This window comes from Homo sapiens, chromosome 2 (genome assembly GCF_000001405.40).
Source record: "Homo sapiens chromosome 2, GRCh38.p14 Primary Assembly".
Classification (NCBI taxonomy): Eukaryota; Metazoa; Chordata; class Mammalia; order Primates; family Hominidae; genus Homo; species Homo sapiens.
Genome location: NC_000002.12, coordinates 112870203 through 112888465, shown reverse-complemented (window position 1 = coordinate 112888465; position 18263 = coordinate 112870203). Strand labels below are relative to the sequence as shown.

At 43.0% G+C, this 18263-nt stretch overlaps 3 annotated features.

Moving 5' to 3' along the window:
- Positions 7141-7210: an enhancer, noted in NCBI's record as "active region_16407". NCBI's record gives its function as "activates an Ori minimal core promoter by ATAC-STARR-seq in GM12878 lymphoblastoid cells {active_cell/tissue: GM12878}" and the evidence as "EXISTENCE:reporter gene assay evidence [ECO:0000049][PMID:35858748]".
- Positions 8164-8243: an enhancer, noted in NCBI's record as "active region_16406". NCBI's record gives its function as "activates an Ori minimal core promoter by ATAC-STARR-seq in GM12878 lymphoblastoid cells {active_cell/tissue: GM12878}" and the evidence as "EXISTENCE:reporter gene assay evidence [ECO:0000049][PMID:35858748]".
- Positions 8704-8853: an enhancer, noted in NCBI's record as "active region_16405". NCBI's record gives its function as "activates an Ori minimal core promoter by ATAC-STARR-seq in GM12878 lymphoblastoid cells {active_cell/tissue: GM12878}" and the evidence as "EXISTENCE:reporter gene assay evidence [ECO:0000049][PMID:35858748]".

The following is an 18263-nucleotide window of genomic DNA, read 5'->3' as shown; positions in this document are numbered from 1 at the left end:
GTTTCCAGGGCTCACTTTCTCAATAAACTCTTAAATTGCTTTTAAAGTAAGGGAACAAGCAAACATTACATTTAAGAGAAATCAATTTCATAAAGAAGGGGGGATGTCCAGGGTACTTTGCTTCCATGTTTTGCTTCCATGAATTTGTGTTTAACAGAAGATGCAGAAAAACACACAATTATTGCAAAATCAAGGAAATCCACTCTAAACATCCCTTGGTTTCCCAGGCCAGTGTCACAACTGAAAACACATATTGTGGCTAATTATGTGTCACAAATTAGAATGACAAGGCAAGAAAAAAAAAACTCTCTGATTAACTAATAGCAGCCAACACAGACAGCCTGTGTAGCTCAACTCTGCTGGTTTATAAAAGGCAGAAGAAGCAAACGGCTTCTGTGACCGCAACAGGAAGGGCCTCTGCTCTTAATAAATAAATAACATTTAAATTATTCTCCCCCATTTGCAAAGCATTTTCCAACTCATTATCTCATCTGACCAGGTATTATTGTATCTGACCAAGAACTTGTATACAAAATAAAGAATAAAAAATAAATATGGGCCAGGCACAGTGGCTCATGCTTGTAATCCCAGCACTTTGTAGGGCCGAGGCAGGTGGATTGCTTGAGGTCAGGAATTTGCGACCAGTCTGGCCAACATGATGAAACCCCATCTCTACTAAAAATACAAAAACTTAGCCAGTGTGGTGGCACATGCCTGTAATCCCAGCTACTCAGGAGGCTAAGGCAGGAGAATTGCTTGAACCCAGGAAGTGGAGGTTGCAGTGAGCCAAGATCACGCCACTGCACTCTAGCCTGGGCAACAGAGTGAGACTCCATCTCAATAAATAAATAAATATGGAACTCTCCCAACACAATAATAAGACAAACCCCCAAATGTTTTAAATGGGCAAAAATATTTGAACAGATACTTCACAAAAGAGGATATGTAAATGGTCAAAAAGCACATGAAAAGATGTTCAACACCATTGGTCATCAGGGCAAAGAAAACTAGAACCACAATGAGATGCCTCTGTACACCACTTAAATGTCCAAATTAAAGAAAACAAGTTTTGGCAAAGTTGTGGAGCAACTGAAATGCTCGTGTATTGCTGGTAGAAAAACAAAATGGCATAACCATCGCAGATAATTTGTTGTCAGTTTCTTACAAAGTTAAACATATACTTATTGATATGACAGTTCCATTCCAAGAGAAATGAAAACATAAGTCCACACAAAGACTTGTACCTGGGTGTTCATGGTAGCTCTATTCATAATTGCCAAAATCTGGAAACAAATCAAATGTCCATCAGCAATGGAATGGATATACAAATTGTGGTACACATGTACAATAGAAAACTACTCTGCAATGGAGAGAAATTAACCATTGACAAACACAAAAACATGGACAAACCTCAAAAACATTATGCTGAGCAAAAGAAGCCAGACACAAAAGACTGCTCAGCGCATGATTCCATTCATATGAAATCACAGAAAGGGTCAGTTGAAGGTGCAGAGACAAAAAGTAGATCTGCAGTTGCCTGGGGATGGGGTGGGAGGTTGACTGCAAAGACGCATAAGGAAATTTGGGGGTAGATGAGGAGTGATGGAAATATTCTATGACTTGATTTGTGTATTAGTTTCATAAGTTATATATTTGAACCCAACAGTATCTGAGATAGGTCTCAGTCAATCTAGACAGTTTATTTTGCCAAGGTTAAGGATGCATCCGTGACCCAGCCTCAGGAGGTCCTGACAACCTGTGCTGAAGGCAGTCAACATACAGCTTGCTTTTATTCATCTTAGGGAGACATAATACATCAATCAATGCATGTAAGGTTTACATTGGTTCAATCTGGAAAGGTGAGGGAACTTGAAGCAGGGAGCTTCCAGGTTACAAGGTAGATTATTCTCAACAGAAAGGAATGTCTGGGTTATGATAAGCGGTTGTGGAGACCAAGGTTTTATCTTGTAGATGAAGCCTCCGGGTAGCAAGCTTCAGAGGGAATAGATTGTCAAAGTTTCCTATCAGACATAAGGTCTGTGTTGATGTTAATGCTGGTCAGCTTTTCCTGAATTCCAAAAGGGAGAAGGGTATACTGGGGCATGTCCAACCTTCCCTTCCATCATGACCTGAACTAGTTTTTTCAGGTTAACTTTGGAATGCTCTTGGCCAAGAAGAGGGGTCCATTCAGATGGTTGGGGGGGCTTAGAATTTTATTTTTGGTTTACAGTGAAGACTTATCAAGCTATACACTTAAATGAGTATGTTGTTAAATGTAAACTATAACTAAATAAAGATTATTTTAAAAGAAATTAATGCAGCTAACCGTGACCCCTGGCAAAATAAAATAGTGTATATGTACGTGCATATACATGCAAAGAAATGAGTTGAAACTAGAAGGATGCCAATCAAATAATAACATGGTCATCTTGGGGTCGGAGTACATTTGGGGATGAGGGGAGCTGTAAAAGCAGACTTGGACCTTTTCTTCTACCAGTACCGTGTCATTTGAATTTTGGAAAGAAAAAAAAAAACTCAGAAGGAGGAGAAGGAGCAGGAGGAGAAGAAGATGGATCTTAAGTGATTTGCCCGGGAGCACCTTGAGAAGGTGAGATTCAAGTCTAGGTCTAAGCTTTCTAATTCCATGAGTGGGAGTGACCCACGTCCAAGAGGAAGCTCAAAAGGAAGATGTTCTCCATCATCTCTTGCTCATCCTAACAGCATGCAAAACCACATCCAATGCAGCTCAGAAAACTCCCAAATTGCCAAATTTCATTGGAAACACTTAATGCTGTGGTTTCCAATTTCAACTGTAAAGTAGGTATGTATGCCATTGTTACCATTAACTTCTCAGAAATGGAGAGAGCTCTCTTTCCGCCTCCTCCCCCTCTGCTGTGGCTTTGGTGAGACGTGCACTCAGGCTCACCTGTCTCCATGATCTCCAGTAAGTACACATGAGCAGAGAGGCCTCAGCTCAGCTCTTCCTGGTCCCACCAGGGTTGATTCTTTGAGAATTCTGGAATGCCACATCCTAGGCCCCCCAAAGAAATCCTGCATCTTACCCCCAGAAATATGAATCATAGCAAATTTCAAATCAACCATCGTTTAATACTCACAGACTGGGCACATCCAAAAACATATTTTCAGTTTTACAACAGTGCCTGGTGCATATCGGCACTATTTGTGGAAGCAATAAATCGACACGGAGCTGAAACACAAACAAATGCCAAATTGTTTTTATAACACCTGATTTTCTTTCTGTTTCTTTATGCAGTTTAGTTTTGTTTTGCTTAACTCTACCTCAGACCATAGTCTGGTAAACTCACCACCCAGAAGCTCCCTTGAAATGTGGGTATGCAGCCACTAGGTGGCAGGAGAGAGTTTCCTGCCTGGAGGGAGGACAGCCACTCTGTCCCCGGGTCAGGCCAGGGCCACCCTGCTACCTGCAAAATTAGCATGGGGCTTTATGAACCACAGCTTCCTAATAAACACAGGATCTGTTTGATAGAGCCTCCAAAACACGCCTACCTAGTGATGAAAGACTCAACTTCAGAAGAAAACCTTCATGGCAAACATCTTCAGAGATGTTTCCAACTTAAGGTTCTGAACACAGACGCTTCCCCAGAAAGCCATTGTTTCTCAGCACCTGGGAGCCTTGCTTTGCTTTGCTTACAGACTCGCTGTTCTTAAATCACTGCCAAGATAACATCTGTCTCTTCTCTTACCCTCTATTTCGATATAAGGACTCCTCACTCTTGTTGCTTCCTATTGGCTACCTCTCCACAGGGAGAAATCGCTGATTTAACAGCAGTCAATATCCCAAATCTGGAACAGGGAACAGGGAAGCATTTAAAAATTGGAGAATTTAGGCCGGGCACAGTGGCTCATGCCTGTAATCTCAGCACTTTGGGAGGTCGACGTGGATGGATCACTTAGGAGTTCGAGACCAAGCCTGGGCAACATGGCGAAACCTCATCTCTACAAAAAAAAAAAAAAAAAAAAAAAAAAACCCAAAAATTAGCCGGGCATGGTAGTGCACACCTGTGAGCCCCAGCTACTCAGGAGGCTGAGGTGGCAAGACTGCTTGAGCCCTGAGGTCGAGGCTGCAGTGAGCCGAGATCACACCACTGCACTTCAGCCTGGGCAACAGAGTGAGACCTTGTCCCAGATAAATAAATTAAATTAATTTAATTAGAGGATTTAAGGATTTTCCCTACAGACACCTCCTTATTTTCTCTGGCCTTTTCTGACTACTCTCCCTAACTCCCTGCTCCTCTGGTCTCCCAAAACTACTCCAGAAAAAAAAAAGGGGGGGAGGGACTAAAGGAAAGCCAGGTGACAGTGCCAGTGTGACAGATGACAAAGCATCTGCCCGAACAAACCGTAGGTCCCTGAACTTTCTCCAAGACCTATCTGTGGACTTACCTATGAAAACCAGTTTTAGCAAAAACCCTCCTAAGCCAGTTTATCAAGATCCCCTTATCCTCAATATCCATCTGATTGGATTCTTCATCCCCCACCATTCCCCAGTGATGTCACCAGGCCTTTCTTCAGCAACAGTAGTTAGTGGGTGTAGCCAGGACGCCCCCTCACCCCTGATATGCCCTTTTAGTAATTCTTCATCCACAGGTTCCCACCCTGCTCCTAGGCTATACATTCCCATTTGCCCATGCTGCATTTGGAATTGAGCCCAGTTCTATACTGAGGTCTTACTTCACCTCTCGCCATAGTCCTGAATAAAATTGGTTTTCACATTTAAAAACTGTCCAGCTCTGGTTGTTCCTTGACACAGGGTAATTTTTATTCCATGTGATAGTTTGCCTTACCTCAGCCTACACCCCTCAAACCTGCAACTCTATATTCAAGAACCAGACAGCCCTTTCCAACAGATAGGAAGAGGCTGCCCTGGTGCAAAGGAAGAGGCTCTGGGAGGAAGGAGAGAACCCGAAGGCTGCCCCCTCCTCTAGACTGAGCTCTGGGATGGGTGGACGATAAAACCCAGATACGTTTAGACATCTGAGCGTGGAGAGGACTTTGCTTTGCTTCCACAGGGACCCCAAGGAAACTGCAAGCCCTCCAGAGACTAAAAACAGCAGAACAGCAAGAAATGGCAGCAAAGGTCTGGGCAGAATCATCCTATGTGGGCACAGACACAAACAGAGTCCCCTGTGGCCCCAGGAGAGTTTAAAGAAGATCCAGAGGCTGTCCTATTCCATATCTCAGCAGAGACAGGCCCGTGAGCCTAAAAGCTGATCATTAGGACAAGAAGGACACGAACTGTCCTGCAGCGTGAACCGCGTGGAACAAGGCCAATCACCAGACACCAGACCAGCCAGACACAGCCCCGCAGTTCCCCAAGACCACCACGGACCCATCGCCCCTCACCAATAGCTCCAGGCTACATAGACCCCCTCCACTTCATGGATGTCCTCAGAGCAGAAAGGGGAGGCAGGAGTGGAACCCTGACTTGGTTCAGTTGAAACATAAAATGACTGTACTATTATTGAATTGCTGAAGTTTACGTGAAAGAAATGAGATTTAGTTTTTGGCCACAGTGCAAAATAAGAAACGAGGCTTCAACTGAGATTAAGGTGAGTTATAGGAAAATGTACTCCCTTGAAGGACCTGTGAAGTGTGTTCGCTATGAGAAAATGACCAGAATCCACGTTCTTAGCTGCGGGACTCAGGCTGACTCCTGTTTCTGGAGCTTGCACAAAGGGCAGGGAAATCCCTGTTTCAGGCACAGTGATTTCAATGTTTAAAAGAAAACAGGTGGGCCCTGGCAATCATGATAACATGTCATAAGTTTACATCTCTGTGAGGCAGGTAGTGTAATCCCCATTTTGCAAAGGAGGAAACCGAGGCTGAAAGCAGCTACATGGTCTCTTCAATGTGGCCCAAATGTTGGAGAACAGAGCTTAACTGAATCAGCAATTCTATACTTAGAACTGACTCTCTCTTTATTATATCTCACTACTACCTTGATATTTGAAATATTCAACTTTTTTCAATCAAAAAATAACAATAATTTAGGCATAATGACTACTATGTCATTTAATTTCTTGCTGATATTTCAATATCCCATGCCAGGAATATTGAAAGCTCAGCTCCTTAAGAGCTGACTATGGCATCAACTCCCAACAACCATCCTTCCAGAAATATTTTCCCCTTTCTTTTGTTATAGAGTGGCACTGCCCTATATGGTGACCACTTGCCACATGTGGCTGTTGAACACTTGAAATTGGCTTGTCAGAATTGCAGTGTAAAGTGTAAAACACATACCAAATTTCAAAGACATGGCACATAATAAAAAATGTAAAATATCTCATTAACAATTTTTATATTGACTGTGTAAGTAACATTTTGAATATATTGGATTAAATACATGGATGATGCCCCAACACCCACAGTCCCTTATCAAGTCTCTACTTCACATTTTTGTACTTCTGACTTAGAAATAGCACTGGCGTCTAAGAGCCTATTAATGTCGTCAATAGGTTCTTGGGAACCACAATTTTAAACAAAATGACATATAAGAAAACGAATAACATTGAACAAAATGACATTATTCGAGGACCTGCTGCATGTTGTTTCACTTAAAGTCAGTGTCCAAGAACCTATCAGTGACATTTAGTGAGGACTTGCTGTCCTTCCTGTTTACAGGAACCTGGGCAAGTTACTTAATTCCTCTAAGCCTGGTTTATATCCCTGCAAAGAGAGAAGGATAATAATCACCAGTACTTAGTGATGTCGTAAGGAGAAAATAAAATAATAAATATGAAATGGCTGACAGTGTCCTTGTCACACAGAAGATGTGTGATCCACAGTAGCTGCTATTGTCTGCCTCACTTCACTAGTAATGGTCCAGGGAGGCCTTTAATGTGCATGGTGCAGTACATTCACATGTTGGACATGGGTGAAGGGAAAGACCAGGCTCATCTAAACACAATAGGATGCTTGTGGTGTTTTGAGGAGGAATCAAGGACTAGTTATCCACAGCTGTAACATGCATGGATCAAAAGAGATAAGGCACACAAAAGACTTTGTCAGTAGCAAAGCATTACAAAATGCAGAGACCAGCTGTGGGTGGTGGTGAGTCAGACCCAGCTTCCCTCTGTGCCTGGCTGAGTGGTTCTGGGCAAGTCACGCCATCTGTCTTGATGCCCTTCCCCATCTATAGAGAGGGAGCAACTGAGGCCCCTTCCAATACTGAAGTCCTTTATTTCTGCTACTTTAGAAATATCCACATTTTTGGTAAATTCAAATGATCCAATGATTCCATTTCCTAATGTTCAAAACTAGCCCCAGAAACATCTAAATGAATCAAACAAATAAAATATTTATTGTGTATGTTTTGATTGCTGAAACTTCTATTTTAGCAACACACACACACACACACAGAACCCATAAGCCTTCATCTTTCCTTGGATAAACGAGCCTTCCTGTCTGGCCATTTAAGTCACGATTAAGTAAATGATTTCCAACTCGCCTTTTGCAGCAGTTCAGATGGGTCTTTCCTGCGTGGCAGTGGCCCTCCTGACTTATGATTTCCTGTGTGTCGGCCTGTTACCACTGCAGCTTAACTGAGGAAACAAGAACAAAACAGCCTCTGACCCCAAGAGACTGTTGGAGGCAAAGGCTTCAGTCCCAAGAACCTCACACGTGGGGAGCCCGAGAGCCCAGCCCTGACCTTTTCTCCAGTAATAACATAAGAAACAACAGGCACTGGCCTTATTTTGGATACAAAGAGTGGTGCTTTTCCTTAAATCTTCCTTTAGTCAGGGCTACCCCTTCATGGACGCCCCAACATCCATGGTTCCTGCTTGAGTCCCTGCTTCCATATTCCTGCACTTCTCACTTGAAATATCCCTGGAGTACGTTAAGCAGCCAGGTTTGGAAGTTCTTGCTGTGCAGGCGGGTGTGTGCATGTCCTCTCTCTCAACAGGACACAAGCTCCCCAAATCAGACGGTATGCCTCCACGCCCCTTCCCAAGCCTCCCCAGCAGCACCGAGCATGTGAGGGGAGCTGGGGCCCAGGCCATGATGGGAAGCACTCTCTGCCTAAAGACTAGGGTGATGCGCCCTCAACTGTGGGAATGAGCCCCAGCTCTGGTGTCTGCCTCGGTTTTTCCTCCTGGACAATCAACATGAACTCCTCACCCCTCTTATCCACTTTGCATAAACTGAAAATAACAAACCCAGGGCTCTTTCTGTCACAGGAAAGGGTTTTTTTTTATAAGATTAAACAGAGATGATTCAACACACCCAGGATATAACACATGGGCCATGAGTCAAGGCCAGGCATTGCTCTGGTCAGCCTGTTGTTTGGGCCCCCTTGGCAGGGCTCTCCCCTGAATCTTCCCCCTCTTGACTCCCCATCACCACAGCACGTCCAGCTTTGGGTACAAGGCCAGTAAATGGGGAAGGGGGTCAGATGACATAAAGAGCCCTTTCCTGTCCCATTGAAATATATTTGGATAACAGATGGCATTTCCCCCTGTGTCTTGCCCAGGGCCCAGAGCCTCCACTTGCTAGAGGCAGACAGAGGATGGAGAGCCCCTTCATTAGTGGGAGGACATCACAGGTGGGCAAGAAACCACAAGCTTGCACTGAGGCCCAGCCTTGAAATAGCAGCACCTGCCGGCACCTGTGGTCTGGGGACAGGGTCACAGGATGGAGGGGCCTCCTAAGCCTTTTATCTCTATGTACTAAGTACAACCCATTTTCCCACCTCACAGAGCCAGATCAGCCTCTGTGAGGTCCTGGTGGCAAAAGGAGAAGTGCCTGCCCGCCTGCCCGCGGTGGGGTGCTTGTGCTTGCATTCCTGGGAAGGTGTTGGTTAGCTCTGCAATAGGTCCCTCTGACCAGCTCACCCTCTACCTGCAAACCTCAGACCCAGCTTCAAAGAAGATCCAAGCACCGATGGGACCCTCTGGTAGCTTGACACATGGGCGGACCCAGATTCCTCTCTCATCTGATCTGTCATGGAGGGCTCCCCAGTTAAAAGTCCTTAAAAACACAAATCTGATTGACAAGTTGCCTGCCTGTCTGTCTTCAGCCAGTCTACCTGCTGCTGCCTTCAGGTTTCCTCCCAGCGTAGCTTGGACTTGTCTTGGATTGCCTGATATGGCAGGTGCACTGCTCTCACACCAGCCAATCATCTGCTGCTACAGAGCCTAAAATGAACCAGGAGAGCATAGGAGCTCGGTCAGATCACCAGCAGCCCATGGGGTTTGTCCTCTGATTTTCTACCACCTCAGCCTCCACCGTCACTACCATGACCACTTTTGACCCCCAGGCCCTCTGCTGGGATTTCCTACAACCACACAGCTTCCTGACCTCTTATTCCCGCTTTTGCTGTCTTCTCCAAGAGCCAGCTCAACAGCTCATGGGCACATCCCATCCCACTCGGTAAAGGGGCACACGACCCAAAGCCAAACCATTCCTCCCTAAACTCTGGGACTAGAATACCTAAAAACGGGCAAAAGTCCTTCCTTCCTTAGGGCCTCTGGAGTCTGGTCTCCTTGAAGGACTCTTCCAGGTGGCTTAGGACATGTTAAGTGGGCTCCTGCTAACCCCATGCCAGCATTCTCCCCACAGCCGATGCCAGGCTACTCTGAGCCCAACTTAGGCACAGAGCAGAAAGGACAAGCAGCCCATAAGCCCCAGTGAATATCTCCAATCGCTGTGTCTGTGTGTGTATCTTTATGAGACGGTCATATCTAATACCTGCAACAATGATTTTCTGAGATCAACCCTAGTGTCAAGCTTCTTGAGCTGTAAGTCCCATAAACCATCAAAATGGCATGCTTAAAGGAAACTATTGACCCCAGTAGTATCTGGGCTGCAATATCTGTCTCTCAGCAGAGACAGAGCATTTTACTTTTCACAGTGAATTCTTTTGCACTGTTTAATTTCTTACTCTAAGCTTGTATAATTTTTTAAAACTAATAAAAAGTCCTAGGAATTTCAATATTATACTATCCAATTTGCATAATCTGGGATTCCAGTTGTAGCACAAAAATCCTTATTCGACTATGCTGTAATTTGTAATTCATATACGTGTGAAATACAGCCATGATGCTTAGAACCAAGATTAATCTGGGGGATTTCCTCACTCAGCCAGTGTGCACTCAGCTCTGTGCTGTAGGGACACTCAAGTGGCATGGGGCAGCACAAGCCCTGTCCTTGTTGAAGTAGGAAGCCTATGCAGAGAAAGTGGCCATGTCCTAATTCTTAGGGAGGCTCCAGAAGAAAATGTGGGGAAAGTGGAGCAGCCCCAGAAGGGCTGGTTTATTACTAGCACAAAAGGACCCTGATCCAGGACAACCCCAGACATACTACTTAGATAGAGCAGCCCTACTCTTCAACAGCACCTCTCTTTTGTGCTTGAGTTTAATTCCTTTGAAACACGATGAATGGGTATGTTATTTAGCTTGTTGTAATCATTTCACAATGTATACATAGATCGAAACATCACATTGTACACCGTAGACATATACAATTTTTATGTGTCAATTATGTATGCTTTAATAACGCTGAGTGGAGAACAGTTTGAAACAATAAATTAAATTCTTAGGTTTCAAACCAACCTCCGCTCCATCATGAGGTCAAACTTCACCACCACATCCATTGCTTGGAGGGTTACTGGCCCGTGTTCCTTAATATCATGTAGGATCATTGTGGGAATTAAAGGAGATGGGTGAGACCAGAATTCTTAGACTTCCTTGGGGATGACTAACCTAATATTCCAAGGTTTCCTGGAGGGCTCAAGGCTCAGGAATTGGGTATTTCCTCTATGACATGCCCACACATCTCCAAGGAAAACGCTATATGTTCTCTTTCTCTACCTTTCCACCCCACCTCCACCGGGACGATCCTTTGACTGCTGCAGTTACCGTGACTAGCTAGCTCCTCCAGTTCTCCCAGCAGAGCTGTTCAAGGAAAGTAACACTCTAAGAAGCCATTTGGCCTCCACATGCCCTCAGCTGAACTACAGGTCTGGGCAGGGAAGGCAAGATGCCCCAGAGACATCACACGCAGGAATGGCAGGGCAGGCATCAGCAGGGCAGGCCACGGCATCTCCCACCACTCTCTCTATCCTGTAGTACCCAAGCTTGTCCTCAGAACGTGAACCAACAATCTGGAGCTGTTTTTCCAGGACATTAAGTGAGGCCCTGGAGGCCCTCTACCAGCCCACTAGTGCTTCTGCTCTGTCTGGATTAGGCAGAATCAGAAACCTAGCCCCAGTGCGAGTCACCCCCAACTCACTGCTAGTCACCCTTTACATCAGTCTTGATGATGAAAATGCCATTGTACCCCCAGAATTACATCAGGCTGGGAGTGTTTTCCTAAGCACGCTATCCCTAGGGCCTCATTTCCACTCTCAAGCTCCATGCCCCATTGTCATTTGGAAAAGTTGGCAACTATCAGGAGAATAACTCAATAAGTCATTCTGCATCTCATCACTGTCGAAGGACAGGAACCCCTGGAAAAATGAATATAGGAGAGCATGGATCTGGGATTGAAGAAGCTGCTGTAATCTTGGGCAGCAGCTACCTATGAGCATGCACCCCTTCAGATCAGGCTTGGCATAGGATGACGACACTTGCCAAGCACCATGACTGTTAATGCAATTTCTTAAGACTCTGTCTTCCTTACACTGCTCCAGGCCCTCAAGGGCCCATGACTATGTGGAAATGACCTTGGCCCTGGAGGCCTGGGGTGGGATCATCTGCTAAGTAGATACAAGGAAAGCAGGTGAGCCATACTGACGCAGCCATTCATAAGCCAGGCTCTCTCAGATGCCTTCCCTCAGCTCTCCTACCCTGCATTCCTTCATTAACCCTGCTCTCATTGAAATTCCTAGGAACACCTAATCCTCATGCAAAAAAAAAAAAATTAGTCTGAGTCTTCACGGATTCTTGAGACCTCATGGCTTAAACCCTGTTCAACCCCATTACCTCTCTAGCAACCCCATTGCCTGGTGCTGTCCAGGGCCAGGCTGATCTCCATAGGTCCCTCTGCTGGCTCCATTCAGATCTGCCCTCCAGAGTTCAATAATCTCTAGAAAGGATTAGTGTTTGCTGGTTTGTACTTATTTATTTATTTATTTATTTATTTATTTGAGATAGGGTCTCACTCTGTCACCCAGTCTGGAGTGTGGTGGCACAATTATGGCTCACTGCAGCCTCAACCTCATGGGCTCAAGCAATCCTCCCACCTCAGCCTCTCAAGCAGCAGGGACTATAGGCGTGCACCACCACATCTGGTTAATTTTTTTTAATTCTTCATAGATACAAGGTCTCCCTGTGTCACCCAGGCTGGTCTTGAATTTCTGGGCTCAAGAGATCCTCCTGCCTTGGCCTTCCAAAGTGCTGGGATTACAGGTGTGAGCCATTGCATCCAGTCCTATTTGTTATTAATTTGGGTTCCAAAGATTCCTCCAGTGGCATCTTACTTTGGAAATAAATTACAACAATAATATTTATCAAGCATTTATAAAGCCCTTACTACATGTGGAGCCCTGTAGGAAGTATCCTATGTTGTTCATCACATATATTCCTAACAACATATTCCACAAGGTCAAGATTCTTCTTATCCTCATTTCACTGACAGAGACTTGCTCCAGTCATAGGGTACTGAGTTCCAGGTATATCGTCCAATCAAGTTTGCTGTTGCTTCCTTACTGATGTGAGTCTGTGATGCCTATCAGTTACTAAGAAATACACATGTTCAACCATTGCCTGGAGGGTCACCCCAAGGGTATATCAGATGCACATATCAAATTGAAGTTCAGGCATATCCAAACTTTAACTCATTAACTCCTCTTACATCACTGCCCTTCCACTCCAAAGCAAACCAGTATGCCTTCTCATTCCCCTAGTTTCCTTGTGGTGTTGAATAATGTAACTTCAGTGGATCAACCTAGAAGTCTCAGAATTATCCTCAACTTTGCTTCCTCAGCCCCCACCTGCATCCAGTTGTTCACTATGTCCATTCTGATTCTACTCTGAACATATCTCAACTACCTCCCTTCCACTCTGTTCGCACCACTACTGCCTTATCTCAGGGTCTCGTCATTTCCCCCCAGCCTTTCAGTAAATGGCTCCGTACTTCTCCACACTACACAACTCAACATTTTTGTAGAATTCAGACCATTCTGCAACAAAATTAGATATGGCTTTGAAATACGTCAAACAACGACAGACAAAAACAGCCAACTCTCCACAAATTGTACACCTACCAGCTTTTCCAACCAATAGTCTAAAACATGGGAAAGTGTCTTTAAAAATGTAAATTGATGTTATTAACTCTTATTTTAATTCATTCATGTGAGTCAGGATCAGTTGGGACAGTTTTATGAGGGATGAGTGATTTCCAACACTGTGAAACACAGAGTGCTTTGCTCCATTTATCTTCTTAGAAAACTACATTTTAATCACTTGATTTCATTTTGAAGACAAACTAGATTCACATTTATAGAGGACAGAAGAATAAGCATTTTTCCACACGTAGATTTTACCGTCATATTCTAGGAAAGGCCTTACAAAACAAATGGCCATGCTGTTTGATTATTGCCAGAAATAGTAGCTTCAGAATAACTCTTCTAAAACCAAAGCCATCGTTTATGAAGATATCTCCAAATATCTGATAAGCCTACAACTAAAGCTAAACCACCAACTAAAGTATTAATGAAGAAATGTAAAACAAGCTTCTTGAATGCATGATAAAAATTCTCCAAGTGTTAGCCTCATTAGCAAGAGTCTGCATCAACAAAATTCCTGTCCTCAGTTCCCTACACTAAAGGTAAATGTATATGGGGTAAATGATGCAGCTATAAGTCCCCAAAAATAACGTCATGATAAAGTCCCACCTGAGCATGAGGTGGACCACATTCTTACATTGTTTAAAAATGGAAGATTTTGTCTTTGCACCTTTCCCTGCTCTTTTTTGGCCCTCAGGGGAAGGTTCCATGTTCTTTCACATGGCACAACCTTACCTTTGTTATGGTTCCCCATCTCCTGGTTCCAATAGAAAGAAAGAATGAATGGCCCAGAAGTGGAATATGTCCATTTAGATACAGTTTAATTTCAGTCAATAGCCATTTATTAAGCACTCACTGTGCCATGAGGAATGAGCAAATAAAAAAGAAATGACCCAACCCTTCAGGAGCTCTCAGGGTCTAGAAAAGAGTAAAAGCAGACACAAAGTCAAAAACTGTGGCACAGATGTGATCAATAATATAATGGAAGTAGAAAAAAAAAGTGTAATCAAAGAAAATGGGACAGGGAGTAACCCCAACTGGACATCGTCTTGGAGTAGATGGGGTGCTAAGACAAGAATTCAATAGCAGAATATGTATGAAGTAGTTATTCCAGGCAGAGAGAATGATTTGAGCTGACAGAACATGGAATTTGAATCAAGAACAGTGAGTAGTAGCCCAGAGTATGCACTGCAGTGTGGTGGAGGATAAAGATGCAAAGGTAGAGGAGAGTGTGGAGGGCTTTGAATTCCGGACTCAGGGGTTTGTGTGTTATTCTACGTGACAGCAACTTTTTATAATTTAGGCTTCCACTAAATTTTTGTAAATGTTCTGCATAAACTCAAAACTAGTATGTATTCTCTAATTCTTGGGTACATATCCAATATATGTTCATTAAATCAAAAGTGTTCATTGCATTAAGTTTTGTCATTGTCTTTTGTCTGTTTGACCTTTACATAATCGAAAGAAGTAAGTTGAAATCCCTCTGCGATTATGGATTTATACATTTTTCATTAGTGCCATACTAGTTTTGTTTCACTTAAATAGTTATTTGAGGCCAGGCACCGTGGCTCACGCCTATAATCCCAACACTTTGGGAAGCCGAGGGGGGCAGATCGCTTGAGCCCAGGAGTTTGAGACCAGCCTGGTAACATGGTGAAACCCCATCTCTACAAAAAATACAAAAATTAGCAGGGCTTGGTGGTGTGTGCCTGTGGACCCAGCTACTCATGAGGCTAAGGCAGGAAGAAAGCTTGAGCCTCAAGAGGTGGAGGCTGCAGTGAGCTGAGATCAAGCCACTGCACTCCAGCCTGAGCAACAGAACAAGATCCTGTCTCAAAAAAAATAAATAAATAAAGTAAATAAAATAAAACTATTTGATTACAAGTTTATAATTGTGTCTTTCTGGTGAATTAAACCTTTCATCATCACAAGTTGACTCACAATAATGCATCTTATCTTAGAGCCTATTCTGATCAGCACTACTACAGTCACTAGAATTTTTTGATGTTGTTCATTTGTTTTCATCTTTTAATGGTGATTTAGTGCATCAGTGATATTTCTGGACCTGTTTCTTCTACCTTTTTCTTTTCCACTTCTATTTGTCCCGCTTTTTCTATGCTTTGATTTTCTCCTTCCGAACCTTTTCTTTCTTTTTTTTTTTTTTTGATTGACTGAGATGTTTTTTGGTCAGTTTTCTTATTCCATATTTTTCCCTTGACTGTTTCAGAAGTTATACTCTCTATTTCTATTTTTTTATGGTTATCCTTAAAGTTTTTCACTGTGTAAGTGACGGTCAAAAATTAATATATTGACTCCCCTCTAGAAGGATAGAAGGACCCTAGAACTTTAACCTTCAAGTAATTCCTGAATCCTTTCCAGCATGCTTGTTTTCTAGTATTTTAATTCTGTCCTTTTCTTTATCCTTATCAACTCATTATTAATAGCATCATTGTCATTATTATCATTTATGCAGGCAGTTTTTTTAATTCACCTATAATTTTAACAATTTCTTTGTTCATAATTCCTTTTTGCATCTCAGACCTTCCTTAGGAATTGTTTTCCTTCTTCCTAAAAACTGCATTTAAAAGTCCATTTAATGAATGCTTGTTGGTGGTAAACTCTCTCAGTTTTGTTTATTTGAAAACATTTTTATATTACCTTCATTACTTTTTGTTAATGTTGATATTTTGTATAAGGCAGCAATTTTCACCCTTTTCACCCTTATTCTTCAAAGATAGATTAAATACGCATTTTGAAAATACTGTTTCACTGAATTTGGTTTCCATTGTTGTTGTTGAGTAGTCTGCCATTGTCATTTCTTTCTAAGTCTGACTTTCTTTTTTTGCTGATTTTAAGATCTTCTCTTTGTCTTTGTTGAGTATTATTATTACAATTTGTTCATAGTATATTTATTTATCCTCCTCAGTGTACATTGTTTTCTCTACTGGTAAAGTCATAGTTTGTGTTGGTTCTGAAAAATTCTCAGCCACCTCTTTAAATATTGCCTTGTTCATTCTCTCTATTCTCTTCTTCCAAAATTCCAGTTAGACCAATGTTAATTCTCATTCTACCCTCCCTATAATTTAACCTCTTTTATAATTCCTGTGTACTTTTGTAAATTCCCATTTTTTCTATCTATGCTGAATTCTGATTTCCTCAGAACTACCTTCCAGTTCATTAATCATTTCTTCAGCTATTTAACCCATCCACTAAGATATGTATTTCAACAATTATACTTTTTTACTTATAGATTACTTCATTTTTTTAAACCTGCCTAGTTTTATTTTTAAATTATGCCTTTTATTTCCTTAGATGTTTTCTAAATAATTATATGTTATATCAACCCTTCCCTTGACTAAATGTGCAACCTTAGACAATTGACTTTATTTCTCTGCTGTGTTTCCTCATCTGTAAAATAGGAATAATTATTGTACCTCCTTCATAGAGATATCGGATTAAATGAGTTACTGTGTTCGTACCAGACAATGTCTTATCAGGAAACAGAAACCAGTCTGGCTATTTCAATCAGAGAGAGAAGTACACACAGGGAAGTCAGTTACAAAATTAGAAGTGGAGGAGCAAAAACGGGGAAGATTGTGGGACCCAGAGATCAGGAACTACAGAAAGCTGCTACTGCACCTGCAGGACCCAAGGCTCCTCTGAGCTTCCACAGAGCCATGCAGCCACTCCAGTAGCCCCTGGTCATCTACTGGCCACTGTCCCTTTAGGAACCTTGCTCGTCTCAGTCCCATGCCTTTAACTCCACACTGTGAGAAGGCTACTTACCTGTGACTGCCACTGTTACTGCCCATTTTGCATGTGCTGCCAGAGGCACAGCCAAGAACAGAATAGCTGCCTCTTCCTTTCTACCTTTTAATCTAGTGCAAATTAAGAGGGCACAGTAGGAGGGTGAGTGTGAAGCTGAGTCGGTATCTGGCACAATGTGCAAAATTCTTAGAACCCAGCACACAGTAAGTACTAGATGCATGTTTGCCATTGTGGCAGTTTTATTCTATATTCAGGAATTCTAACAGCTGAAGACTTAGAGCATCCCAGCTGGTGGTTATTGTTTCTGTTTATTCTCATTCACGTCACTCATGAATTTGTTTATTGCTCTGTGTGTTTGGTGACCTTTGTCTGTGAGCTTGTACATGATTGATCTTAGTCTGTGGGAGTTGTACTGGCTGAATTGGGGAACTTGCCTCCAGAGAGGATTTGTGTCTGCTTCGGGTGGAAGGGCAAGGAAATGCCAACAACCTGAGACCACTTTATTCTGCCTCAAAGGCCCCGGATTGAGGCAGGCCCCTGGGTTCAGCACCCGCTCTTGCCACTGGCACATAATTAAAGAGGCCCATTGATTGCAATGCTTATACAAGTGTTTTCCCTCAGAGAGGAAGACTGCCTTTGACGTGTGTTTACCTGCCGCTCACCACCCTTCCTACTTAAGCCCACTTGGAGGGGGTAGGGAGAGGGGGACAGAAAGAGGATTTTAAGAGATCTCCTTTCCTTGCTGTTCATCCAGAAATGCATTTCAAAATGTGTTTTATCTAAGCCTTACTCATTTTGAGTAAGGAAGACCCTGCAGTGTCTACATTCAACCATGTTGCCAAAAGCAGACATCTGTATTTTATTCAATAGACAAAGGAGGAACCATTAACCAATGGGGGCCAGGGGATGATGGGACCCAATCTCAGTTTTAGAAAGAAAACCAGCAATAAAGCAATCTGATTTTTTTTTTTTTGAGACGGAGTCTCACTCTATCGCCCAGGCTGGAGTACACTGTTGCAACCCCAGCTCACTGAAACCTCCGCCTCCTGGGCTCAAGCAATTCTTCCACCTCATCCTCCCAAGTAGCTGGAACTACAAGCACGCACCATCACACCTAGCTAATTTATTCTTTTTGGTTGTTTTTTTTTTTTTTTTTGTATTTTTGGTAGAGATGGGATTTCACCATGTTGCCCAGGCTGATCTCAAACTCCTGAGCTCGAGCAATCCA